Genomic DNA, 27,559 nt, shown 5'->3' on the forward strand with positions numbered 1-27,559 from the left:
TGTATATATACAATTTAAGACTCACATCTAGAATACACAAAAAGAATGTACCAAAGAACAGAATATGTATAAAGAACTACTATAAATTGAAAAGGGTAAGTCAAGAGATCCAAAAAAAACTAGCCAAAGGCTTGAATATATATTTTCAAAATTATATATATATACATAGGGACAGTAACACACTAAAAGTGGCTCAGCTTATAAGGAAAATTAACTTAAACTTAGTGTCAGTAAATACACACTCTAGTGATTATAATGAAAATAGACCAAAAAAACTAATGTTTTTTTTTTATATAAACTACTGATGAGAGTTTAAGCTGGCAAAAATTCTTAGGAATTCTGTTTGGCGGTATCTATTACAACTGAAAAAGTGTTCAGAATCAGTAAATCCACTGCAAGTTATGTGCCCAACAGAAAATAGTACCGATTTTTACCAAGACATGTGCTAGAATGTTAATAGAAGCAGTCATGGTGACGGTCCTACCTGAAAACTGCATAAATGCCCATCCACATTAAAATTTATAAATTAATTGTGGCATAGTCACATAATGACACTTCCAGAAAAATGTGGAAGAATCCTACAAACATACTGCTAAATCAAAGCATCCAGACACCAAATAGTACATATTGCTATATTTAAAAACTGGCAAAACAAGTCAATGCTGTTAGGATTTAGGATAAGGTTATCTTCAGGAAAGGAACGGCAGGTAGAGACTAGAGAGGAGTACTAGAGAGACTTGTGGTGCAGATAATGTTCTGTTTCTCAGCCTGGGATCCTGCTAACCAGGCATGCTCAATTTGAAGAAATTCATCAACATATTTGCATTTATGATATGGACACTTAGAATCTTGAATATATTATCTGAATGAAAATTTTTTAAATAATCGATTGAAGGAGGAAACTGAATGATGACTAAGAAGAAAGGGACATGAAATTTGATACACATAAGTAGTTGAATAAGTTATCAATGTACAGAGTAATGCAGGAATAATAAAATAATTCCTCCAGTAAACAGACTTTTACAAATTTTACCAAGCAGTGTAGTATTTCCAGACCAAAAGAGAAAGAAGGAAATGATTCATGACATACAATTTGAATCTTTGTTATTTTTGGCACAACCCTGTGGAAAGCAAATGGACTTTCAAGAAGAGTTATGTTGTTTTGAATCTTCACTACCAAAAATTCCCAGAGAGGATAGTGCTTGCACAAACACGTTCACTGTAAAATGTACTTTTCATAGCAAACACCTGAAAGTAACTGAAAGGTCTCAGTGCAGGATACGGTAAAGCCAGTTGAGACTGGTTAGGGGAGCTGATAATGCTCACCTCTTCACAAGTTCACAGTCAGGGACATCATGTTGGCTGCCTTCATCTTTGAAATGCTGGTGGTTTAACATTTACAAACTGGGTGAAAGGAAATAGATATTTTTCTACCATATATTGGCAATATTAAAGAGCAATTAAGTTTAAGAGACTTTATACTATTCTGCTGAAAGTGCTTCATTACAGTTTTTTTATATTGCCATTCAATTACACATATATATGATTTAAAATGATACATGGGGGGAAAACTAAAGGAAATGCAGTATATTAATCTCAGAAGCTATGATTTCATAACTTTTAGGCTATCCTATAGTTTTAAATTATTTACAAAAGCCTATTATAAAATTTTAAAAGACAGTAAAATGCATTAAGCTTTTAAATTCATTCAGAATGGCTACAAATAATGAGTCTTTAAAAATTTGTATTTATTATGAAACGAATAAAACCTAGTGACTCCAATGCTTATATCAGCTAAAGCTTGCTGCTGTCAATGTGTCTTCATTTTTAAAGTCCTAATTTACTATATTGTTTGAAATAGCGTTAAGATATATGTTTCATTTGGAACACTTAGTTTTTCTTAAAAGAAAGACAATTAGTACAAAAGGGATTAACATCCACATAGTTACAAAATTCAAATAATACGGGTAAAATGGTACACTCTATTAGAGGATTCAACCCATAAATTACAAAAGTCTGTGAACATTGTTGTAGGACTCCAATATGTATAGCATTACCCTTTAAGACTTGTATTTCAAATGTAACTTAAAACTACCATACAAAAATTAAAAGCACAGAAACCCACGAGAGCCATAACACAATAGCCAAGTAAGCAACCAAGTATTACATATTGTTTTATTTGTGGACGAATATGTATTAATTGCAATCATATGAGCTTCATGTTTTCAGTATAAGACATCATATGTTGTAAAATCCAGGTAATCACAGGGTTAATTGGATAAAATATGGGATTTGTTTATCTGCTACTTAAGACATAATCTTTTGGCTTACTTTGTGAGTCACACTCTAAACATTTGGTTTTAACATGTGATGTAATAAATTTTAATAGGGCTCCCTTTTGAAAGGGGAAGAGCTCTGTATGCGCAGGAAAATGTGTCTGTTGATGCAGTGAAATGAAGTTATTTTAATGTATTCATTTTTACAGCTATGTAGGCAATTGTTAATTATATTTCTACCAGCAAAACAAAACTATATATGTGTTTGTGAGAATGTGTGTATCCCTGTGTGAGAGAGAGAAAGAAATAGGGATGGAAGAGAACACTAAGTCTAATGCATTACAATTCAGTTAAATTTTCAACGTAAGTCAGACTGCCCACAAGAATATCATTTGGCCGGGCGCCGTGGCTCATGCCTGTAATCCCAGCACTTTGGGAGGCCAAAGCGGGCGATCACAAGGTCAGGAGTTCGAGACCAGCCTGGCTAACATGGAGAAACCCCGTCTCTACTAATAATACAAAAAAAATTAGCCAGGCATGGTGGCGGACGCCTGTAATCCCAGCTACTCGGGAGGCTGTGGCAGGAGAATCGCTTGAACCCGGGAGGCAGAGGTTACAGTGAGCCAAGATCATGCCACTGCACTCCAGCCTGGGCAAAAAGAGCAAGACTCTGTCTCAAAAAAATATATCTATATGTATATATATACACATATATATGTATATATCATTTATAGATATATATAATTTAAGATATTGCAGAGTGTGTGTGTTGGGGCGGGGAATGACCTCTGAAAACAGGCTACAGGGGGCATCGTGTGGTTGGGCACGGACCCCGAGGTGCGAGGGGACCCTGAGCTCCCAAGGCTGAGGGTCAGAGGCAGGGCCTGGGAGCCCCAGGGAAGCCTCCACAGCCAGCCACAGACACAGTAAGCGTCCTTGTTCACGACACAGGGCACACAGTGCTCGGTGAGCCGGGTCAGGATCAGATGCTGGTGGTCTCTGCCCAGTGCGGGTCTCGCTTCCTGACGCAGGTGCGCCTTGGGCTCCCACAGGAAGCGGTCACATCCAGACTCACCAGGCCTGAGATGTTGGAAGATGGAGAAGCCTTTGCCACAGGAAAAATCCTCCATGAACACAATGAAACTTGGCCTGCACCTGGGACATCCTTCTCCACGGCTAGTCTACAATGCAGGTGCTCTGCACACGCTCCCTGGCTGACCCCAACGCAGAGAAGATGCACGTGAGCCCACCCCCACAGCAGGCGTGGACATTTGCCTCCCTTTTATAATAGCTGTATTCAAATGAGGTATCCTGGAAGCCTCGTTCTGATAGGATGAGAGCAGACTCTGTACTACAACACGGATTGGATAATAGTCTCCAACTCTGATTGGTTAAGATTGTGCAATCAGAGATGGAAATTATTATCCAATAAGAGTTGTCAAAAAGGTTCCTTGCGCAGTGGTCGTCATAGTTCAGAAGCGACCGGGAGCGTGTGTGGTGCGCGCCTGCCTTGAGGCCAGGCCTCAGAGAAGGGTGTCCCAGATGTAGGCAAAGCGTCCTCCATGTGTTCCTGGAGGACCGTCCCAAGTCCTTCTCCATTCTCCCAACCTCTTGGGCCTGGTAAGTCTGGATGCGAGCGCATCCCACGGGGCCGAGGCACAGGGAGAGAGGAACGGGGCAGAGGGAGGAAAGCGTGTGCAGGGGCCCGGAGCGCCAGGCTGCCAGGGCTTCACCCCATGGCCACCGGGGAGCTGTGGCCCCACTCGGCCCAAGGCAGAGTCCGGCCCTCCTGCTGCTGGCACTGTCACCTCCCTGGGGTCCTGCCTTCTGGGTCCCTGTGGGCCTCCTGTCATCTGGCACTGGAAATAAGCTAGCGAAGCAAAATTTCGTGAATATTGGCCTTTGCATCTTTTTCTTCATTTTCAGTGCTGGTTTTTCTGTTGGGTCATTTATGTTCTTACATTGATTTGAATAATTTTAAAATGTATTTTATAAATTAATTCTTCATGGGCTCATTTCTAGTGTAGATAGTTGTTTCCTAGTCTGGTCATTGTTCTTTAATTGTATTTTGCATTTCTTTCTTGCTGATACATAGGAATCTGATTGATTTTATGTATTCATCTTGCATCCTGTAGCCTGGCTTAATTCACATATTCATAACCATCATTTTTGGATTGTGGTGTATTTTTCATGTACATAATAGTGTCAGCCACATACAATAACAGCTGTATTGCTTAAATGTTGGTTCTTATACCTTTATTTTTGTTTTATTGTCCCAATTACACCTCCAGCACTGTGTGAAATAGAGGGGGTATGTCCAGGAAGTCTTGCTTGGTTCTGATTACAGTGGAAAAGCTTCAGTGGTCCTGTGTTGTAATTTCATTTTAGACAAGCTTAATCAGATTAAGGAAGCTGCCTTCCTTTGCATTTGCTAAGAGTTATGACTAATTGTTGAATTTGAATAAATGCTTTTTTTACATATATTCTGAATAGTAATGTTTTTCTCCTATTTTTCTGCAAATAGGATATTTTACATGATCTATTTTTTAATGTTAACCAATCCTGCATTTTTTAGTATATCCCACTTGGTATCTATGTGTTATGTTTTCATATGTGGTTTAATTCATATTATACAATTTTTCTTAGAATATTTGTATCTCTGGCCGGATGCGGTGGCTCACGCCTGTAATCCCAGCACTTTAGGAGGCCTAGGCGGGCGGATCACCTGAGGTCAGGAGTTCGAGACCAGCCTGACCAACATGGCAAAACCTTGTTCCTACTAAAAATACAAAAATTAGCTGGATGCGGTGGCGGGCGTCTGTAATCCCAGGTACTTTGGAGGCTGAAATAGGATACCTGCTTGAACCCGGGAGGCAGAGGTTGCATTGAGCTGAGATTGTGTCACTGCACTCTAGCCTGGGAGACAGAGCGAGACTGCATCTCAAAAAAAGAATATTTGTGTTTCTGTTAATGAAAGAGTGGGTCCATACTTTTTTTTTTCTAATGTCCTGTTCAGATTGTGGTATCAACGTGATGCTGGCCTCACAAAACAAAATTGAAAAATAGTCCCTATATTTCTTCTCTTTGGAAGGGTCTGAGAAATTTAGGTGTTTACTTCCTTAAATGTTTGGAATATTTCTTTAGTCTGGGCATGGAATTTTACTTGTGGAACATTATTTGTTAGCTGTTTTGTTGTTGTTGTTGTTTTAACAATTCAAATCCTTTAGTATATATGGTAGTTTTCTGGTTTTACGTTATTTCTGTGTCCAGTTTTGTAAGTGTATTTTTCAATGTGTGTAATTTCATCTCTCTTGTCAAGCTTGCAGTCCTAAGTATTTCTCAGAATTTTCGTAGTATCTTGATACACTGCTCTGTAGAGCAGGCCTCTGTTTTCATTCCTGATATTGGTCTTTTGCGTCTTTTCTCTTTGCCTTAGTCAGTTTCGCTAGTGGTGTATTTAGTATATTAACATTTATAAACCAAGTTTTTTTTTTTTTTTTGAGGCGGAGCCTTCCTCTGTCGCCCAGGCTGGATTGTAGTGGTGCGATCTGGGCTCACTGCAAGTTCTGCCTCCTGGGTTCATGCCATTCCCCGGCCTCAGTCTCCCAACTACCTGGTACTACAGACACCCGCCACCACGCCTGGCTATATAAACCAACTTTTATCCTTGATTTGTCTCCATTACAATTTTTTTTCCTATTTCATTGATGTCTGCTCTTTATTATTACTTTCATTCTGCATTGTTTCGTTCTAATCTTTTTTAGTTCTTGAAAGGTTTATGTGATTGATTTTCAATATTTTTTCTATTCTAACACATTCCCTTAACGTGTGTCCTGTTTCTCTCTAAGCGGGGATTTATCTGGCAGGCCACAATTTCCCATAGGTGTTTCCAGACCCTGTGTCTGCAGCCGCGTTGGCCTCCCACTGTCTCCACCCTGTATGCCTGCAGCCATGTCAGGCTTTGTGTGTCTCCCTCCTTGTGCCTGAAGCCTGTATCTTCTCTCCAGTATCACCATCCCATAATGACTGAAGCCCATGTCTGCCCTTGTGTGTTGTCACCTGGTCTGTCCTCTGCCTGCAGTTTATGCCAGCTGTCAAGTCTCCATTTCTTGCACCTGCAGCCCATGCCAGCCGTGTGAGTCTCCATCCTGTGTGCTTCCAACACATTACTTGCTTTGAGTGTTGCGGTCTCCTTAGCCTTCAGGCAGTAGCAGTCCTCCAGTGCCTCAATCCCTGTGCTTGCAGCCCATTCTGATATTTTCGTCTGTCTGTCCCCTGAGCTTCGGCCCATGCCAGCTTATGTTTGCTGCATTCTCTGTCCCTCTAATCCATGTCCACAGTGTTTTCATTCATGCTTTTCAGTCGTGTCTGCACTCGTGTGTCTCCTTCTGTGCCTTTAGTCCATTTCTGTCCTTTTTCTGGATCATTTCTCCCAGGAGACTATGCCCAAAACTCCTATCCCCAGTGCTTGTACCTGCAGCCAGTCTCTTTCGTTGGGTATCTCTGTCTGTTGTTACTGCAGCAGAGGCCTGTCATTGAGTGTGCCTGCTTCCCATGCCTGTCTTCCTGTGTCTCCAGCCCTTGTCCATGCAGCCCACATTAGGACTCTTGTGACTCCACCCTTCAGCTTACAGCCACATCTACCTTCGGGTGTCTTTATCTCTGTGCTTCCTGCCCACGCCAGCCTTCACCTACTCCTCTGTCCTGCCCCTGTACCCATGTCTGTCCCTGCTGTGCCTCTCTGCCATGCATCTGTAGTCAGTGAGCTCCCTTTGTATCTGGATCCCCCGTGACTGTAGCCCAGGTCTTCTCTCCTGTGCCTGCAACTCATGTCTGCCCTTGAATGTCCCCATCCTCTGTGCTTGTCGCCCATCAGCAGGGCCTAACGTGTTTCCACTCTCAGTGCCTGCACCCATGTCTGCCTCCAGGGTCTCCACTCATGGTGCCACAGTTTGATTTCCCATCTCTACTCTCCTGGGGTGGATTCTGGCATCATGACTGGGGAGGGAGAGGTGACCCATAAAAGGGAAGGCTGGAATGATGTCATGGGCAAGGAGCTGCCTTTGGCGGGGGATGCACAGTGGTGGAGAAGACATGAGCAGTCAGAATCCTCCCTGCATTGGGGCGCTCACGTGGGGCTGTGCCTGATGTGGGGAGTAAGGGGAAGCTGGAGCAGGAGGTCTGGAGCCACCTGGCCCTCTTGGGCCTGACACCCTTCCACTGCAGGGCCTCTATCACCTCCTCCTGTGGTCCTGCCTCCTGGGATCCTGCCCTGCAGTGTTTCTGCAGGGATCTTCTCACCTGGAACTTGCTGTGGCAGGTTTCATGTGAGGTAGAGTTTAGCAAATGTTGATTGGCCTCTGTGCCTTACTTTTCTTCATATGCTTTGCTCATTCTGTGCGTGTTTCTGTAGGGTCCTTTTTTGGTTCCTATATTGATTTGAAGGATTTATCTTAAATCTGTAAATTAATCCTTGATTGCCTCATTTTTGTCATAGATACTTATTCTCTAGTTTGATCGTTATTTACTTTCTGTTGATTTCATACTAGTACACAGTAATCTTGTTGATAACAATCATGTATCTAGGATGTTTTTGTAACAGTTTTGGGGTTATGGATTGTCTAAGCATGTAATAGTGTCACACACACATAATGACAATTTTTTTTGGTTAAAAAAAATCCTAATGCCTTTTATTTCTTTGTTCTTGCTGTATTGTTTCTCCAGTACAATGCTGATTAAAGAGTGATAGCAGGCATCCTCGTCTGGTCCTGCACTGGGGGAAAAAGCTTCCCATGATTCTCTATTAATTATGTTGTTTGTTACAGGCTCATATTAGACAAACCATCAAATTAAAGAAGTTGCCATCTTTTATGTTTTACTCAGACTCGTTTTTATGGTTCAGTTTTAAGTGTTATTAAATGTTTTTTTAAAAACTTAACCTAAATGATCTTATTATTTTTGCCTGTATTTTTGTGCTAATGGGATGACTTACATGATTTATTTTGAATGTTAAGGAGCCTTGCATTTTGGGGTATATTCCACTTGGTATTGATCTGTGGTTTGTTTGTTTGTTTGTTTTTTGTTTTGGTTTATGTGGTTTTTTTTTTTTTTTTTTTTTGAGACGGAGTCTCACTCTGTCGCCCAGGCTGGAGTGCAGTGGTGCGATCTAAGCTCACTGCAAGGTCTGCCTCCCGGGTTCACGCCATTCTCCTGCCTCAGCCTCCTGAGTAGCTGGGACTACAGGCGCCCGCCACCATGCCCAGCTGATTTTTTGTATTTTTTAATAGAGACGGGGTTTCACCATGTTAGTCAGGATGGTCTCTATCTCCTGACCTTGTGATCCGCCCACCTCGGCCTCCCAAAGTGCTGGGATTACAGGCGTGAGCCACCGCGCCCGGCCTAATCTGTGTTTTCATAGGTGGTTTCATTCATGTAATATTTTGCTTAGAATATTTGTAGCTTTGTTTATGAAAGAGGAGATACATACTGTTTATGAAAGAGGTGACCTAATTTTCTTCTTTTTTGTTCCATAATGCGTCCTGGTCCAATTGTGTTCTCAATCTAATACTGGCTCCACACAAAACTTTAAAAATACTATCTTTATTTCCCAGCAGTTTGGGAAATTTTGGTGTTTTTCTGCCTTGAATGTATGGAGTATTCTATAATTATGAGCTTGGAGTTTTACTTGTGAAACATTTTTGTTTGCTGGGTTTCTTTTCAAGAATTTATTCAATTTGTTTAGTAGGCAGGAGTTTTTCTATTTCATGTTATGTTTGGATTAGTTTGGGTAAGGTGGTTTTTAAAATGTGGTGCATTTTGTTCTCTGTTGAGTTTTTAGACCTACATACTTCTTCAAATCCTTAGTTCTTATTAAGGTCTACAGGCTCTGTAAAGAATGTGTCTGTGTTGATTGCTCTCTCGTGTTTGCGTTAACCCCTCTTTTCTCTCTTCATCCTGAGCTGCCTGGAGTTGGGGGAGGGATGATGCAAGCACCCCTCTGGCTACCACCACTGGGACTGCGCTGGGTCAGACGTGATGCCACCGTAATACTGAATCTTGCTAGAGGCCCGTGGCTAGTACTCATGGCTACCACTGATGTTTATTCAAGACCCAAGCAAGGGCTCTTTCATCAGCAAGTAATGAACCCTGCCAGGACTGGGTCCTTCCTCCCTTCAGGGAAGTGGGCTCCCTGCTGGTCCAGGGTGTGTCTTGAAATGTCATCTGAGAGCTAGGCCCTGAATGGCTGCTTCAGGACTCTACTTGGTGCTCTGTTTTACTGTGGCTGAGCTGGTATCCAAGTTGCAAGGCAAAATGCTTTTTACTCTTCTCTCTCCTCCTGGAGCTGTGAGCTGGGCTGCCTTCGGCTGGAGGAAGTGTGATGCGAACACTCCCTTGGCTACACCAGCAGGTGTCTCACTGGGTCACCTGCATCCCAAGTTCACTGGCTCTGAGCCCAGTGCAGCACCAGCCCTTGCCCAGCAATGGCAATCCTTGTAGCCTAGACTGGCTTTCACATTTGTCTAGGACACCAAAGCACTTTAGCCTGCAGTGGTGATGGTGGGGTTAACGGAATTCGGGTTTTGATTACTGGGATGGAAGATTCCCCTCTGGCTAGGGCTGGTCTAAATGCTGCCTCCATGGGTGCTGGCTGAATTCTGCCTTGTGTTGCTCTCCACTGTGACAGGGCAGCGCTGAGTTTCAAGGTAAAGTCCCACAATCACTGAGCTCTCCCTGCCCTGGGTGCACAGATTCCGTCTAAGCACCACGTGTGGCTGCTGCCGGGAGATGAGGGAGAGGTGGTGTAGGAGATTTGAGATTGTCTTTCCCCCTTTCTCCAGTTCCTCCTTCCTTGATACGATGTGAAAACCAGGCGCTGTGAACGCTCACCCGATTTTTGGTTCTCATGAAGATGCTTTTTTGTGTGGATAGTTGTTCCATCTGGTGTTAGTTCAGGGAGGAATAGAATCGCTGGAGAATTCTATTTGGCCATCTTGCTCTGTCTCCAGGTCTCCCCTCCCTTTCTTATTCTTTATCACAGCTTCCCAGTGAATGACCCTGTAGTGCTGCCTTCCAGTGTTCATTCATTCATTCATTCATCAGATATTCATTAAGTGCCTCCTGTATGTCTGACACTATGTAGACACTTGGGGATGCAGTGGTGAATAAACCAGACAAGGTCCCTGTCCCCTTAGAGCTTACAGTCAGGTTGTGCACATGAAATGTAACTTTAAAATATTTTCTTATACGAAGACACCCTCTGCCCCAATCTAGAAAGAAATCTGTTAGGCATCAAGCTTAGATTACTTGGTAAATATACAGCTATTTACTAATGTTAGTTAATGGACTATAGAAAAGGGACAATGATATTTATTACAGTGTTTTGTTTTTTCTTTTATTGTTTAACTTTTATTTTAGGTTCAGGGGTACATGTGCAAGTTTGTTACATGGATAAATTGCATGTTATGGGGGTTTGGTGTACAGATAATTTCATCACCCAGGTAATAAGCATGGTACCCGCTAGGTAGCTTTTTGATTCTCACCCTCCTCCCACTCTCCACCCTCAAGTAGGCCCTGGCGACTGTTGTTCCCTTCATTGCGTCCATGTGTACTTGATGTTTAGCTCCCACTTACAAGTGAGACTATGTGGTATTTGGTTTTCTGTTTCTGTGTTTGCTAACTATAATGGCCTTATAGCTCCATCCAAGTTTCTGCAAAGGACATGATCTCATTCTTTTTCATGGCTGTGTACATAGTAGTCCATGGTGTATGTATACCGCATTTTCTTTTTTCAGTCTACCTTTGATGGACCTTTAGGTTGATTCCATGTCTTTCCCACTGTGAATAGTGCCGTGATGAACATATGAACGAATGCATGTGTCTTTATGGTAGAATGCTTTATATTCCTTTTGTGTATACCCAATAATGTAATTCCTGGGTCAAATGGTAGTTTTAAGTTCTTTCAGAAATCACCAGCCTGCTTTCCATAGTGGCTAAACTCATCTGCATTCCCACCAGCAGTGTGTAAGTGTTCCCTTTTCTCTGCAAACTCACAAGCATCTGTTATTTTTTGACTTTTTGGTAATAGCCTTTCTGACTGGTGTGAAATGGTATCTCACAGTGGTTTTGATTTATTTCCATTTCTCTAATGTTTAGTGATGTTCAGCATTTTTTCATATGCCTGTTGGCCAGGTGTAAGTCCTCTTTTGAAAAGTGTCTTTTCACGTCCTTTGGCCACTTTTTAATGGCATTGTTTTGTTTTTGCTAATGAATTTATTTAAGTTCCTTATGGATTTCTGGATATTACACCTGTATTGGATGCATAGTTTGCAAATATTTTCTCTCATTCTGTAGGTTATCTGTTTACTCTGTTGATAGTTTCTTTTGCAGACAGTGGAATACTATGCAGCAACTAAAGGAACCACCTAGCATGATGTGTATCAGTATGGATACATTGCAAAAACAAAGCTAAAAACAAGCTACCAGGCATATGAAGCACAGGATGGTAGAGGACAAACTATACTACAAGGCTATAGTAACCAAAGCATGATACTCATAAAAAAACAGGCACATATACCAATGGATCAGAGTAGAGAACTGAGAAGTCTGCACATGTACAACTATCTGATCTTCAACAAACCTGACAGAAAGAAGCAACGGGGAAAGGATTCCCTGTATAGTAAGTGGTACTGGGAGAGCTGGCTAGCCAAATGCAGAAAATTGAAACTGGGCCCCTTCCTTACACTTTATACAAAAATTAAGACGGAGTGAAGGCTTAAATGTAAAACTCAAAACTATAAAAACCCTAGAAGAAAATCTAGGCAATACCATTCAGGACATAGACATGGGCAAAGATTGTATGATGAAATCACCAAAAGAAATTGCAACAAAAGCAAAAATTGACAAATGGGATCTAATTAAAGAGCTTCTGCACAGCAAAAGAAACTATCATCAGAGCGAACAGACAACCTACAGAATGGGAGAAAACTTTTGCAATCTATCCATCTGACAAAGGTCTAATATCCAGAATCTACAAGGAACTTAAGCAAATTTACAAGAAAAAACATTAAAAAGTGTACAAAATTCATGAACAGACACTTCTCAAAAGAAGACATCCATGTGGCCAACAAATATAAAAAGCTCAACATCACTGATAATCAGAGAAATGCAAATCAAAATCACAATGACATACCATCTCACGCCAGTCAGAATGGCGATTTTTTTTTTTTTTTTGAGATGGAGTTTTGCTCTTGTTGCCCAGGCTGGAGTGCAGTGGTGCAATCTCAGCTCACTGCAACCTCTGCCTCCCAGGTTCAAGCAATTCTCCTGCCTCAGCCTCCCGAGTAGCTGGGATTACAGGCATGCACAACCACGCCCGGCTAATTTTGTATTTTTTAGTAGAGACGGGGTTTCTCCATGTTGGTCAGGCTGGTCTCGAACTCCCGACCTCAGGTGATCTGCCCACCTCTCAGGTTCCCAAAGTGCTGGGATTACAGGCATGAGCCACCGGGCCCTGCCTACAACCATGATTATTAAAAAGTCAAGAAACAGTTGCTGGCGAGGTTGTGGAGAAACAGGAACACTTTTACACTATTGGAGGGAATGTAAATTAGTTCAACCATTGTGGAACACGGTGTGGCAATTCCTCAGAGATTTAGAACTGGGAATACTGTTTGACCCAGCAATCCCATTACTGGGTATATACCCAAAGGAATATAAACCATTCTATTATAAAGATACATGCACATGTACATTCATTGCAGCACTATTCACAATAGCAAAGACATGGAATCAACCCAGTTGCCCGTCAGCGATAGACTGGATAAAGGAAATCTGGTACATATATGCCATGGAATACTATGCAGCCATGCAAAGGAACAAGATCGTGTCCTTTGCGGGACATGGATGAAGCTGGAAGCCGTTATCCTCAGCAAACTAACACAGGAACAGAAAACCAAACACCACATGTTCTTACTTATATGTGGGAGCTGAACAGTGAGAATACATGGACACAGGGAGGGAAACAACACACACTGGGGCCTCTTAGCACAGGGTGGGGAGTGTGGAGAGAGCCTCAGGAGAAATAGCTAATGCAAGCCAGGCTTAATACCTAGGTGATGGGTTGATAGGTGCAGCAAACCACCATAACACACGTTTACCTGTGTGACCTGCACATTCTGCACATGTGTCCTGGAACTTATAAAATAAAATTTAAAAATATTTGAAAACCAATAAAAATCAAGATCATTATTTTATTTAGCTATTTATTTTTAGAGATGGGGGGGGGCCTCACTATGTTGCCCAGGCTGGACTCGAACTACTGAACCCAAGTGATCCTCCTGCCTCAGCCTCCTGAGTAGCTGGGACTACACATCTACCCAGCAAGATCATTATAATCACACCTGTACCCTCTGGTCACCAAAGGATGTGAATTTTAAGTGGAGGTAGAGGGAGAATAGGAAAACTAGATTTCACAGTGTTCCCTACTGAAACAGTAGTGAGGCCATTCTGGGTGGCCTCTGCATCTGCTTTTGTTTGTTTGCCTCTGTCTTGATTCCCTGTTGTCTGTCATTGGAAGAAAATCCGAGTCTGGACTTGGGTTGCTTCACATGGACGTTATTTTAATGATAAATGATAAAAGACAAGTCCTGAGTTTCCATGGTGGCCCTGAATAGATTCTTCTATGAGACACTGCGTTTCTTACGTATATTCTGAGACACAGGCCAGGTTCTTGTATGAGATGCCATGTTTCTTAGGTATATTCTGAGACATGGACCAGACCATGTAGCATGAACCTGATATTCTAGGAAATCTCCGCATGGGTCCTGGCGGTTTAGGACTCCCTATGCTGCATCCTGCATCTTCAATCTTAACGTCACCTTTTTTTTTTTTAACACAGAATGTTTCTTTTTTGATTTTCCAGTGATTTACAAACCTACCTCCCAATCTAGCAGTTTAACCCCTTACTACAAAACATTTCAAAATTTTAGAATGAACCAATGAGAACATGTCATGGTACTGAAATTAGGCTTCAGAACATTTTTGTCTGTCATTGCATTTGGCAGGAAGTCAGACAAGTACCGGTGATTGCCGGTTTCTTGTCTGATTTTTGCACTTCTCTGGCAAGCTGCCCCCTCTGAAGAGTTGACTATTTGGGAGTTACTCACTGATGGTTCAGCCACTTCCAGAACCTACCCCAAGAGCAAGACTTGAAACCAACTCGCACCCTCAAAGCTCCGGAAGCCATTCAGTGTTTCCATCTTGGCTGAGTGAGTTCTTCACTGAAACTCAATTTGACTTTGACAGTCATCTAATGAGAACTCAAAAGTCATTCTTGGTTCAGCCACAGTCAAAGAACTTGCAGAGCATTCTCTGACGAGGTCCTCAAGGACAACTGAGAGAAGGTAAGATCCAAAAAGCACCTGGATCCTGACACAGGATTGCCTGGTTCTTAAGCTCTGTTTGCATCCATGGGCACTCACCGGGTTGATTGCAGCCAGGCCGATGGGCAGGAGATGAAGTGCCCAAGCCGGAATGCAAGTCAGCATTTATTAGAGGAACCCAGTACCTACACAGGTGGAATGTGTCTAACCCATCGATGATCTTCAGTCCTGTTATATTTTCACAGATATTTTATTTCAGAGTCAGAATAACTGATGTTAAGGTACATGGGGAAGGAAGGCGGTAGCCTCATCTTTGTAGCCAACCAGCAGTATCTCATTCCCAGCCCTGCCTCCTACCTCTGTTAAAAGAGATGGGAAGAGTTGGTAGTTTTCAAGGTTCCTTGAGCTCTGCTGTTCTCTGGAGTAGTCGGCTAACCTTTCCCTGGTGGGAGAGTCAGAAACTCCAGTGTCAGCTTTAACACTTGAATTTTCTCTTCTAGAATTGGTAGTTTAGCACTTTTGCCTATATTTTCACCGAGCTGATTGTTTTTTTCTCATCAGCGTATAAGTCAGTATTTTATTAAGGAATGTGGGTTCTTTTGTTTTTTTTTCTCATCGTTTTATAACTCAGTATTTTATTAGGGATGTGAGTTTTTTTGTTATATGGAGGACGGTTTTTGTTTTTTTTTCTGAAATGGCGTCTCACCCTGTCACCCAGGCTGGAGTGCAATGTTGCGATCACGGCTTACTGCAGCCTCGACCTCCCAAGCTCAAGCAATCCTCCCAGCTCAGCCTCCCAAGTAATTGGGACTACAGGCATGCACAATCATGTCTGGCTAATCCTTTCTAATTTTTGTAGAGATGGGGCATCACTTTATTGCCCAGTCTGGTCTTCAGCTCCTGAGCTCAAGTGATCATCTTGCGTTGTCTCCCAAATCACTAGGATTACAATTGTGAGCCGCCATGCCTAGCGAAGCATGTGTTTTTGTCCTCAGTATGTTATGAGCCTTTTGGCCTTAACATCTTTGTCATAGACAATTTTATGTTGTTATATAAACTGCCAGTGTCATCTTGTTTCTGGTTTTTTAAAGATTTACTCTCCCCAATCTTATGCAAATATGCTATTAAATGTGTTCATCTATTTTATGTACACACATGCAGGTGTTTGATCCACCTCTCTTTATTTAATCTGATGTGAAGTGTGAGTCTTTCTCTCCCAGGTAGATAGCCGATCATGCCAGCGCTATTTATTACCAGAACTGTTCTTTGCCCACTGAATTGACATCTTACCTTGACACGGTTTATTTCATCTACATTCAGAGACCTGCCCTAGATAACGCCCCTATTTCTTTTTCTTTTGAGCTCTGCTTTAAAATATGTCTCATGGGTTATTAGATTGCTTATATTAATTTATCTTTTTATTTTAAGTTGTCATTCTCCGTTTATGTTTCCTTATTTTATTTATTTATATATCTATTTATTTCCTTTTTTTGAGACAGACTCTCACTCTGTCGCCCAGGCTGGAGTGCAGCGGCGTGACCTTGGCTCAGCGCAATCTCCACCCCCGGGTTCAAGCAATTCTCCTGCCTCAGCCTTCCAAATAGCTGGGACTACAGGAGTACACCACCATGCCTGGCTAATTTTTTGTAGAGACGGGGTTTCACCATGTTGGCCAGGCTGGTCTTGAACTCCTGACCTTAGGTGATCCACATGCCTCAGCCTCCCAAAGTGCTGGGATTACAGCATGAGCCACTGCGACCTGCCTTCTTATTTTATTGAATTTCAAGGTAGATGGTGTCAGTGTCAAACTCTGTTTCCAGTCATGAATTTACAAATGTCGGTTCTCTTGAGTGCAGTTTCCCCTTCACTTTGTATTATAAAATACTTGCATCGAGCAGGGCATGATTTTGCCTGTCACCTTCTCCTGCTGAAACAGATCCAGGTGTGGCAGGGCCTGATGTTTGCCCCAGGTCTGTGTCTGGATTCTGCTCAGATCCACTGCCTTTGCCTGACAGTGCCTCTGATCTTCTCATGACTTAAACGCGATGGAAGGCTCTTGAAGACGCATTTATATTACATATTGGGAGGTACAGAAGCTCAGGTAGAGAAGGGCGAGTGCCTAGTGGGAAATTCACCTGTGCCCAGTTTCTTCTCTGCTTGGTGAGCCTGGAATGCAGAGCCCGCTCTCTGAGTCTGTGTGTGTGCCCCTCCTGCCTTTTAGATGTACACTGTGGCTCTTCCTGCCCTCCCCCTTGTCACTACTGTCCTTTGTGCCTGGGGCCCATGGCCTCCTCTGATGTCAGATCTTCTTGTTCCTGATCCTTTGCCAGAACGCCCTTGATCTTCTTGTGCTCCTCTCCAGCACTGGCCCTCTAGGGTGGGGGGCGTTAGTGGAGGTTTCCCATATCTCCATTTTCTCTGGAAGGGAATTGGGGGAAAGTCCTGTATTTCCGTTTTCTCTCACTCTCTCAGTAGAAATTCTTCAAAGTCTAAGCTTGTAGATGATACCCGACTACAAGATTTTTACTGTGTCTTTGATTATTTTTGTTGGGATTTGTAGATTAAGATGCTGGTGGTCAAACTGCTGGCTTATCCTGTTTGATTTTATTGTTATATATGCTTGTATAGAAATTTGAAAGTGAAATTCAGAAGATAATTTTTTGACACCTGAGAGACAGAGTACTTCATAATTTATGTCTCATGATAGAGTGACAGATTTCTCTTAGATTTGTTTGTCTAAAACAGTAAGTATTTAGAGAAAATTGCATTCCAGGCAAGGGCATGGAATGAGCAAAGGCACAGAGGCAGGACATAAAAAATAAAAACAAAAAAACGTCAGGTGCCTGGGTGAATAGTCCAAAAACTAGACGGGCAGAGGGGAGTCTTGGGAGATCAACCAAAAGGCCTGGGCTGGGCTTCATCCAGGTGTTCAGGAAAGAGCCCGGCAGGTGTGAGCGTGTGGTTGACATGACCCACCCTTCACAAATATTAATCTTCCTGTTGTGAAGGTAGCAGCGGTGTCATGCAACGCCTCCCAGAGTTAACCATTGAATACTTTAAAAATCATCATATACCAGGAGCTCACCTGTGCCTGGATCAGAATAAATGACAACATAACGTGATGTCTTGAGGAAGGATAGGTTGGTGCAAAATTAATTTTTGCCATTACTTTTGCAGCACCAGCCTATATTTACAATAAATGCTACAGACAGTCACAAACATTTGAAGACTCTATTCTCTAACATAACAAGGAAAGAAACAAATTAGAGATGTTAAATAAAAGTTTTAAAGGAAAACAATTACAGACATATACAGACATATATGTGTATGTGCTTAAATGAGAAGACACAGAAGGCAGACTGGCGTTCAGTGAGGAGGGCCGTGCACCTTGCTGTGCTCCCTGGAGACACTGCCTGCCTGTGGGGTGCACATCACCTGCAGTGTGTGACAGCACTGGGTGGTCTGGCCTCCAACTGTCGTTCTCAGGCATGGGTTGTCAGCTCACAAGAGCAGATTACTATATAAAAATAACACTGGAATATCGGGAGTATTTTTTCTTAAATATGCTTAAAATAATTTTTTTTTTTGAGATGTACTCTCGCTCTGTTGCCTAGGCTGGAGTGCAGTGGCACGACCTTGGCTCACTGCAAGCTCTGCCTCCCAGGTTCATGCCATTCTCCTGCCTCAGCCTCCCGAGTAGCTGGGATCACAGGCGCCCGCCACCGCGCCTGGCTAAATTTTTGTATTTTTAGTAGGGACGGGGTTTCACCATGTTAGCCAGGACGGTCTCGACCTCGTGATCCGCCGGCCTCGGCCTCCCAAAGTGCTAGGATTACAGATGTGAGCCACTGCGCCCGGCTAAAATAAATTTTAAGAAGAAATACTGTCAGTATTATTTTTAGAACCTTCTATACTTCTCACAGTACACTTGCGCACTACAGAAAATTTGAGAAAACATGGCCAAATAGAGCTGGATTTGCATCCCAGATTCACCATTTATGAACCACATGACTCTTGTCAAATTTTCATCTAAAATAAAGGCTAATATGTGGGAGTTCTGTGGAAAAATTAGGTAACTTTAGACACATGGTACCATGCCTGGCATATACAGTGGAGTCATATCAGACACGTATTTATTTGTTTCAGTAAAATTACCTATTATTATTATAATTTTACATGGTGGGAGCAAGTAGAACACATGCTTCATTTTTCTTTTAAATGTGGCCCCTAAACACAAAGGAGCTATTTCATCTGGGATGTAACTAAAGAAGGAGCCAGGCCAGGTGCGGTGGCTCACGCCTGTAATCCCAGCATTTGGGGAGGCCGAGGCGGGCGGATCACAAGGTCAGGAGATTGAGACCATCCTGGCTAACATGGTGAAACCCTGTCTCTACTAAAAATACAAAAAATTAGCTGGGCGTGGTGGTGGGCACCTGTAGTCCCAGCTACTCGGGAGGCTGAGGCAGGAGAATGGCGTGAACCCGGGAGGCGGAGCTTGCAGTGAGCCGTGGTTCTGAGGTTGTGCCACTGCACTCCAGCCTGGGCAACAGAGCAAGACTCCGTCTAAAAAAAAAGAAGGAGCCAACTCTGAAATGCTGGAGGGAAAGTGAATGTGTGAGACTTACTGAGAGATGGTGTGTTTATAAACAATCGTGTTTACAAAAGCACATATTTCTGAGTGACTGGAGGGATTTTCAAGGCTTATTTGACCACATGTGTGATTGTTACTTTACAGGTTGAGTTTAGAACCTAACCTCAGCCTTACAGGCAGTAGGTAGCCTTGAACAAATGTTTAGCCAGTAGTGGTATCTTGCAGTTTTTCCTTTATTTAATGAATTTGCTAAGATATATCTGGCTATATGCTTAAAGATTTTGCAAAATATTTTTTTAAATTATTTTGAAATTCTTTAAAAAGATTTGTTTATTAATATTCTTTATAGAATACAGAGTTTTCTTCATTGGAACAGAGGAAATGTAATAACTTCATTTATTGCTAGGGCTGTTATTGATTCTAAACAATTCTATGATAGGCTTCTGCAAGGAATTTCAATCTTATTTATGATTAAAGTACATACTAATGAACACAGTAGCATTATTAATAACCATTTTCTTTGGTTATTCAATTCAGGCTTTGTTTTGTGAATCCCCCTACACACACACACACACACACACACACACACACACACACACACATCGCTGTTGTATAAGACGGTGGGTATGTAGTGGGCATTTCTCTAATGTGCTTAAATAAGACAGGGTTTTCTCATACTGACTCTTACTGTTCTAGCCAAGGAGACTCTGTTTGAAGCAAGAAGGCAGGGGTACTGGAAACTGATTTCTTGTGTCCTTGCTTTTTTCTTGTGAAGAGTCTAAATTAGTCTATTTATCATTTGATATTTTGAATTCCAGAGAAACTTAGATAACTGAAGGGAATACCTCAGCAGAGTGTAGGCTTCTCTATTTTGTTCTTATTAAATTATCAAAGAAGGAAATGAATATGAATTATTTAAAATAATCGTCCTTGGAGGTCTTGGGTACTGAGTCATTTGAATGGACTGGTAAGGAGGTGGCCCATTTTGTTTGTTGATTTCACCTTCCTGAGAGTGGCTGGCACAGACAGAGGAGATATTTTTCTGCTCAGACCTAACCCGATTTCATTATCTTTCTGCATTCACCGCCTGATTTTATTCTGTAAAGTATGAACACCGGTCTGACTTCTCTATATCTTACCTTGTCATTTAAGCATATGAATTGTATTATGTAACATAAAGGGGAAAATATGAAAACCAGTTCCTCTCAGTAAACCTTTTAAAACATTATTTAAAAGCCCAGCCTCCTACAATTTCCAAAGTTCCTGGTAATTTTTTTCAGTGGAGTTTTCAGTTTACTGATTTTTTTTTTCACTCAGAAGGGGCTGTGAAGTCAACAATTTTAAGGCAGTGTGGTTTAAGTGTTTTAAGTTCTGTTTCTGTTAAATGTATTCTATTCATGTTTACAAAGCAACAGAAGAAAGCTTAGAGAATTAAGTACACATAAATTTAATCACACAAGCTTGAGTAGCTAGATTAACTTCAAAACGATCAGTAAATAATATTTTAAACTTCTACTGACCTTATTAAAATACACTTCCAGAAACATTCTGTTTGAACTATTCTTGTAAATTAGTCATCTTGCAAAACAGCTGTGACAATATGATATAATGAAGAGAGCAGTGATTTAGCAATGAGAAGGCTGGGAGTCCTTGTCTTGGCTCATTCACAGGGAGATCACATGACATGCCAAAGTCCCCTAGATGAGGAAGCCATGCATTGAGAGGATTGAGGATTGGGTCAATGATCTATCATAGAATACTTTCTATGAGTCTGTGCTTAAACTTAGAAACCTCACAAAGAACACACTGGGGAATTTGGTGCAAGCAGGAGCTTCACCTCATGCAGAATTGCAGTGTGATTTTAGAGTGCTGTTACCATTCTTATGCTTAGAAGGCAGAGTGTCTTCAGTTAGGATTCTGTCGTGTTTAATGGATCCCACTCTCGTTGGCTTAGGCAGAAAGGTGTTAAATGGTTTGCAGAATTGTTGGGAAGGCTAAGCTTCCAGGAGCAGCTCCCAAAGTCTCCACACACAACTGGACCACCAGGGAACCTGCTCCCTCCACCAGGACAGGACTTGGAAACCTGCCACCGCAATTACCAGCACCAGAAGGATCTTGTCTCTGCTAAGTCTCTGTCGACATAGTGAATACCCTGTGCCCTGCCTCTCTCTCCCTGACTCAGGTCCCATTCCAGGTCTTGCCCAAGTCTTTCTGATTGGTGGGACTTAAATCACACCCAAAATTCCAGCTGCAGGAGAGCTCTGAGATTTCATCTTTCCAACCTCTGTGTGCTACGTGGGGGTTGGAGCACTTGCTGACAAGCCTTGCAACCACCATTGACAGTAAGTGAGATATTTATGATCAATAACATTTGCATTTTTCACAATTTACAGTATAGCTGTACATTTTATTTAGAGCTAGTATCAAGTCACTCTACAGATAACAATATTATTTCTGACCATTTTGGAAGAAAACAGCTTTTTTAAAATTGAGAGCAATATCTACATTATTTCCTAAAGAGCCAAAGCTGATAGAGAAAACAGGATGTTGAATTTTGAATTTTCCTTTCAGCTTTATCTTCTCCATGTCAGTTCTGTTTTCTTCTGTCTTTTTTTTCCATAGGGATGTCCTCCACCTTTTCAATCTGATTTGCTCTTTGCCATGCAGACCTGTGGATGAAGAGCCAGAGTCCTCCAAGGTAAATGCTCCTGGCCAGTGGCCTGGTGTCTGTGTTAACTGAACATCTCCAACGCCCTCAGAGTCCACAACCACCATTAAGTCACTTATCAAGTCATTTGACTTGGGATGCCCAGGTATTTGATCACTTTTTTTCTATAAGCAAAGCTCCAAATTCAAACTTTGGCCCAACATTTGATATGTCAACTGTCTCTACTCCACCCTGGCTCCACGTTGGCTGTTACAATCACAAGGGTGCTTTCCAGGTCCTACCAGGTGCAGCCACTGCCTACAGGAGCCTGGCTGAGGCTCCAGGGAGGCGCTGATGGAGAGCCTGGCCCATGAATAACACAAATGCAGCCTCTTCCTCTCTACCTCTTCCTTCCATCCAGTTCCTGCCTTGTCACCTTTCTTTTCTGCCTCTCATAGCCATTAAATTCAGGTCACTACTATTTGCCTTTTTGTCGTCTCATGAGAATTACAAGGGTCAGCTGGAGACTTCACCTCCTAGGAAATGAGGCATCACATCTGTGCACCTGGCCCTCTTGTAGGCACCCCTGGCCATCCCCATCTTGAACCTGCTAGATGTTTTTCTACCTGGTCTTGTACCTGAGCACCTGTGCTAATCTGTCACTCCTGATCTTGGTACATTCCCAGCTTTTCCTGGAATTGTCTGATGGACTCACAATTCCACTTTAGTCATGCTTATCTTTATATATGAGAAAGATACGTAGCTATACTTCATACATATACTGTACACATAAACATAGCAAATAGAAGAAACAGAATGTGCATCTCTCTACAGTAACATATATTTCTTCCCTGGACTGCAACAAATATGCCATTGAATTGGAAGACTGTTGTAAAAGTTAATCCTAGGATGTACCTAGTTGTCTCTGCTAAAATAGTTTGCAGCTAAATTAGATGATTAGACTGTGCATATTGAAAGACATGGAAGGGCTGGGCGTGGTGGCTCATGCCTGTAATCCCAGCACTTCGGGAGGTCGAGGCTGGTGGATCACCTGAGGTCAAGACCAGCCTGGTCAACATGGTAAAACCCTGTCTCTACTAAAAATACAAAAAAAATTATGTGGGCGTGGTGGTGCACACCTGTAATCCCAGCTACTCAGGAGGCTGAGACAGGAGAATTGCTGGAACCCCAGAGGTGGAGGTTGCAATGAGCCGAGATTGTGCCATTGCACTCCAGCCTGGGCAACAAGACTGAGACTCCATCTCAAAAAAAGAAAAAAAGAAAGATATGAAGCCGAAAGCCCAGTGAGTGAGTCTGTGAAGGTGGGAAATGAATTAACAGTAACAGTTTGTGCAAGAACTTTCCTGTTCCTTCCTCCCCGAGGCACCTCATTATTTAAACATTTGCATTTTACTCAGTTATCCTACATCTAAGACTGATCTCCACTCAGCCAACTCCTCCTGCCCTCTCATTTCTCCAATTCAGCTTTAGTCCAGAGGAGAAAAGGATAATAGAGTAAATGTTACACTAAACATCATGGGATACTTCTTAAGTCACCAAAAAAGTAACAACAAATTAAGAAGTATTATTTGCTATTTTGAACTGGATCAACATATAAATGTTCCCATCTCTTTTCTTGGCAGGTGAAGCTGGACTGAATATTTCTGTCCATAAGACTATTAGAATCCCCCAAAGTGGGATACCAGTGAGGACCTCACCAGCAGCTGCTGTCTCTCCAATGCAGGTAGATGAGCCTCAGAAATAACCGCTGCTTGTGGTTTGCTGTGTATTCCTCTAGATGTTTTTCTTTACACATATTAGTGAGTGTGGAGAGAGAGTGTGTATGTGTTCTGTAAATTTGATTACACTGCGCATTTATTCCGAAATCCATTTCACTTTACCGTTGGAACGTAAGCTCTGTGAGGGCAGAGACTTTTGTTTATTGCACTTGCTGTTAGAGCTCTTGTCTGTAACAGTGGCTGGCACATGGTCACATCATAGTAGAAGCTCAATAAATATTTGTTGAATGAATGAAAAAATACGTCCAAGACATCTTCAGATTTCAATATTTGGAGAAATGATTCATTTTTTAAAGAAAGTTACGTAATATATGGTGATTTATTTAGCCACTATTCTACTGATAGACATTTAGGTTGTTTTGAGTTTAACTTATTACAGAAACAATACAGGGAAGATCCTTGTACAAATTTTTGATGGTTAAAGGGGCTATTTCTGTATAAGGGTATATATCAGGATTCATTTGCAAATATCAGAGATCACTGTAATTAAGCAGAAAGGAATTTAATCCAGGGCATTTGGTACTAGAAGGGCTGGAGAAGGCAGTAGGCTCCACTGAGCTTCCAGGAAGGGTTCCCAGAGCATCTCAATGCTGACCCATTAAAAGACCTTCTGTTTCTGCCAGAATCAGGAAGTCTTTCTGTAGGTGCTTGCTTAGGACCACCAGTGCTGCCAAGATATAGGATAAGCCTCGGGATCACACAGGCACAGGTGCAGTCCGTACCTGCAAAACAGGCTCTGTGCCTGCCTCACACTGCCCAGATGATGGTGAAACAGACCCCAGAACCTCTGCTCCCCTGCCACAGAACAGCAAATGCCTTTCCAGCCATGCTTGCCAGGAGAAGCTGCAGACGGGCAGCCTTACACTCCCTTGCACCTTCCAGATCCTCTAAGAGGGGGCCTCTTCGACAGAAACTAGGCCACTTGATGAGCCAAGCTTTTAAGACTTTGGCAAATACACCCTTCAGGCAAATACATCCTAGTCTCTTATGATTCAGTAAATCACCCTACAAAGAGATGAGGATGGAGTCGAGTGAGCCTTTGCTGAGATCTTCCACACATTGATTCCTAGAAAAGGAAAATGGAGTCCTAGAGAAGGAAGTAGATTGACCTGTCCCGGCATGTTGAAAAACTTGATAGACACATTGCCCTTCAGTTTGCCCTCCCACTCACAGCATGCAAGGTACTGTTTTCCCAGAATTTTCACACTCTGTAAATAATTTTAAAGATTAAGTAAATGAACAATGATAACTTGTTTTGCTTTGTTCATCAGTAAGGTTGAGCACTTCTTCATATGTTTAGAGGCCATTTATGTATCTTTTGTATGTGTCTATGGAAACTCATATACTTGGCTTGTATTTCTTTTGAGGTGTTAGTCTGTTTCCTGGGGTTTTTTTTTTTTTATTATTTTAATTTTTTTGAGATGGAGTCTCGCTCTGTCCCCCAGGCTGGAGTGCAGTGGCGCGATCTCAGCTCAGTTCAAGCTCTGCCTCCTGGGTTCACACCATTCTCCTGCCTCAGCCTCCTGAGCAGCTGGGACTACAGGCGCCCGCCACCACGCCCGGCTAATTTTTTGTATTTTTAGTAGAGACCGGGTTTCACTGTGTTAGCCAGGATGGTCTGGATCTCCTGACCTCGTGATCCGCCCGCCTCAGCCTCCCAAATTGCTGGGATTACAGGTATGAGCCACCATGCCCGGCCATCTTTTTCCTGTTTATAAGAAATCTTGATATATTGTGCTTTTTAACTTTTTTTCATATGTAGTGCTATTATTTCTTAGTCATCTTTTAACTTTGTTTATAGTTATATTTTACTGAAGAGAAATGTTGCCTTTTTGTGTTGTTTTTCTTTGATTTTAAGTGTTTTGTTTCCTTCCTTAAAATGTCTTTCTAGCTATTAGTTTATTAAAATATTCTTCCTTAGCATCTTTAAAAAGCCTTTTATTTGTTCAGTCTTAAAACCCATAGAAACATGGGCTTTGGATTTTGATGATCTTCTCCTATCTTGACTGTCTTCTGGAATCAAATGGATACTCTGGAGGAATATTACATCACCTAGAACCTCAAATTATAGCCATGTTTTATTTTTATTACTGTACACAAAATAGAATGAGTTTCTGTATTCATCTTCTTTCTTCCCTTTTTAAAAACTTTTCAGTTCAGGGGTACATGTGCAGGTTTGTCATATAGGTACATTCGTGTCGTGGAGGTCTGTTGTACACATTATTTCATCAACTCGGTATTAAGCCTCGTACCGATTAGTTATTTTTCCTGGTTTGATCCCTCATCCCACCCTCCACCCTCAGGTAGGCCCCAGTGTCTGTTATTCCCCTCTATGTGTCCATGTGTTCTTATCATTTAGCTCCCACCTATAAGTGAGAACATGGGTAGGGATGTTTTTTATTAGGCAAAATGCAGGAATGGATACCAAGGTAGGGAATGTGGGCTGGGCTGTGTAGAGCACGTGGAGGGGTGGGGGGCTGCAGGTCACCATATCTGCTGGCGATGGCTGTCTTGAGTCATGGGCCACCCGGTGCTCTGACCAGTGGCAGCAAGGCTGTATGAACCAGTTCAGTTTTCCTTCCTGAGGTGGGACAGTCACAACTTTGGTTGGATATTTTGGCTCGCCTACGGCCAGTTCCTGGAATTCTTTAAGTAAAAGGCAAGGTTAAGCATTATGAGAGCACCAAAGAGCAAGCTTTTTTTTTTTTTCTATAAAGGTCAGATAAGGAATTGATACCTGATACGTTTAAGCCTTTTTGTGAAATGCCATACACAAAGATAAAAGCGAACAAAATGTAAATGACAGTTTCTTGAATGATTAGAACATGAAAAGTCATGCAGTCACCACTCCCGTCCAGAAGAGGAGCAGCGCCAGCTCCCCTAGACCTCTCCTACGATTTTCCCATCGTAACCCTCACTACTCCCAAAGGTAACCGTTGCCTCACAATTCTTCTCTTTAACAGATCTTTACAAAACTATGCAGCCCTAAACATTATGTTACTTTTCCTTACATCTGAATTTTATCACAAATGGAATTTAAAAACTATGTAATATTTACATCTAGTTTTTTTTACACATTATTAAGTTAGTGAGATGTATCCATGTTGTTACGTATACCGTAATTTGTTCATTTTCTTCAATTAAAGGCCATTGTATGAGTATACCTTTATCCATTCTGTCATTAATGGACAGTTGAGTCATGTACAGTTTGGGGCTATTGTGAATAGAACTGTTACGTTCTTATCGATGTCTCTTGAGACATGTATGTGCTCGTTCCTGTTGGTTACATACTTAGGAATGGAATTCCTGGGCCTTAGGGTATGCATACATTCTAGGATAGTGCCAAACAGATGACTGAAGTATTTGTATAACTCATGTCTTTTCAGCAATTTATGAGAGGTCTGTTTCTCTGCATTCTCATCAATACTTAGTAGTGTGTTAGTCTTTTTACTGGCGGTCATGTGGGTGATGTGTAGTAGTGTCTCACTGTGGTTTTGATTTGCGTTTTTCTTTTGGCTGGGGAGGCTGAACACTTTTTCTTTTTTTCTTTTCTTTTTTTTTTTTGAGACGGAGTCTCACTCTGTCGCCTGGGCTGCAGTGCAGAGGTGCGATCTCAGCTCGCTGCAACCTCTGCCTCCCAGGCTCAAGCGATTCTCCTGCCTCAGCCTCCTGAGTAGCTGGGATTACAGGCACCTGCCACTACGCCTGGCTGATGTATTGTATTTTTAGTAGAGACAGGGGTTTTACCATGTTGGCCAGGCTGGTCTCAAACTCCCTGACCTCGCGATTCACCCACCTCGGACTCCCAAAGTGCTGGGATTACAGGCATGAGCCACCGCCCCCCCCACTGGCTGAACACCTTTTCA

General features: G+C 42.2%; 1 protein-coding gene, 1 long non-coding RNA gene and 1 pseudogene across 25 annotated transcripts in view, besides 3 other annotated features; all 3 read left to right on the top strand.

Moving 5' to 3' along the window:
- Positions 3,512 to 4,013: an enhancer, noted in NCBI's record as "H3K4me1 hESC enhancer chr17:20841589-20842090 (GRCh37/hg19 assembly coordinates)". NCBI's record gives its function as "activates a minimal SCP1, AML or CMV promoter by ChIP-STARR-seq in naive H9 embryonic stem cells {active_cell/tissue: H9 hESC(naive)}" and the evidence as "EXISTENCE:reporter gene assay evidence [ECO:0000049][PMID:30033119]".
- Positions 3,802 to 27,559, top strand: part of LOC124900389 (uncharacterized) — a 61,221-nt gene continuing 37,463 nt past the window's right edge. For 5 of the 13 annotated variants that reach the window (XM_047437233.1, XM_047437236.1, XM_047437245.1 and 2 more), the window contains exons 1-4: positions 3,802 to 3,896; positions 21,202 to 21,589; positions 21,870 to 21,945; positions 23,538 to 23,638. The gene's annotated coding sequence lies outside the window, so the exon portion shown is untranslated. Of the gene's footprint in view, positions 3,897 to 14,338; positions 14,678 to 21,201; positions 21,590 to 21,869; positions 21,946 to 23,537; positions 23,639 to 27,559 lie in introns of all 13 variants that reach the window. The other 8 variants (XM_047437238.1, XM_047437239.1, XM_047437242.1 and 5 more) reach the window with 6 other exon arrangements.
- The window catches only part of LOC339260 (uncharacterized), a 43,792-nt gene continuing 20,034 nt past the window's right edge, over positions 3,802 to 27,559 (top strand). For 2 of the 12 annotated variants that reach the window (NR_123730.2, NR_160714.1), the window contains exons 1-5: positions 3,802 to 3,896; positions 14,339 to 14,677; positions 21,430 to 21,589; positions 21,870 to 21,945; positions 23,538 to 23,638. This is a non-coding gene — a long non-coding RNA (uncharacterized LOC339260). Of the gene's footprint in view, positions 3,897 to 14,338; positions 14,678 to 21,201; positions 21,590 to 21,869; positions 21,946 to 23,537; positions 23,934 to 27,559 lie in introns of those variants that run through there. The other 10 variants (NR_160717.1, NR_160718.1, NR_160712.1 and 7 more) reach the window with 8 other exon arrangements.
- Positions 4,492 to 4,786: a silencer, noted in NCBI's record as "tiled region #15661; HepG2 Repressive non-DNase unmatched - State 16:ElonW". NCBI's record gives its function as "represses a minimal TATA promoter and a strong SV40 promoter by Sharpr-MPRA in HepG2 cells {active_cell/tissue: HepG2}" and the evidence as "EXISTENCE:reporter gene assay evidence [ECO:0000049][PMID:27701403]".
- Positions 7,318 to 7,817: an enhancer, noted in NCBI's record as "H3K27ac hESC enhancer chr17:20845395-20845894 (GRCh37/hg19 assembly coordinates)". NCBI's record gives its function as "activates a minimal SCP1, AML or CMV promoter by ChIP-STARR-seq in primed H9 embryonic stem cells {active_cell/tissue: H9 hESC(primed)}" and the evidence as "EXISTENCE:reporter gene assay evidence [ECO:0000049][PMID:30033119]".
- SPECC1P2 (SPECC1 pseudogene 2) lies at positions 21,918 to 23,640 on the top strand (annotated as a pseudogene).

Source organism: Homo sapiens, chromosome 17 (genome assembly GCF_000001405.40).
Source record: "Homo sapiens chromosome 17, GRCh38.p14 Primary Assembly".
Taxonomy (NCBI): Eukaryota; Metazoa; Chordata; class Mammalia; order Primates; family Hominidae; genus Homo; species Homo sapiens.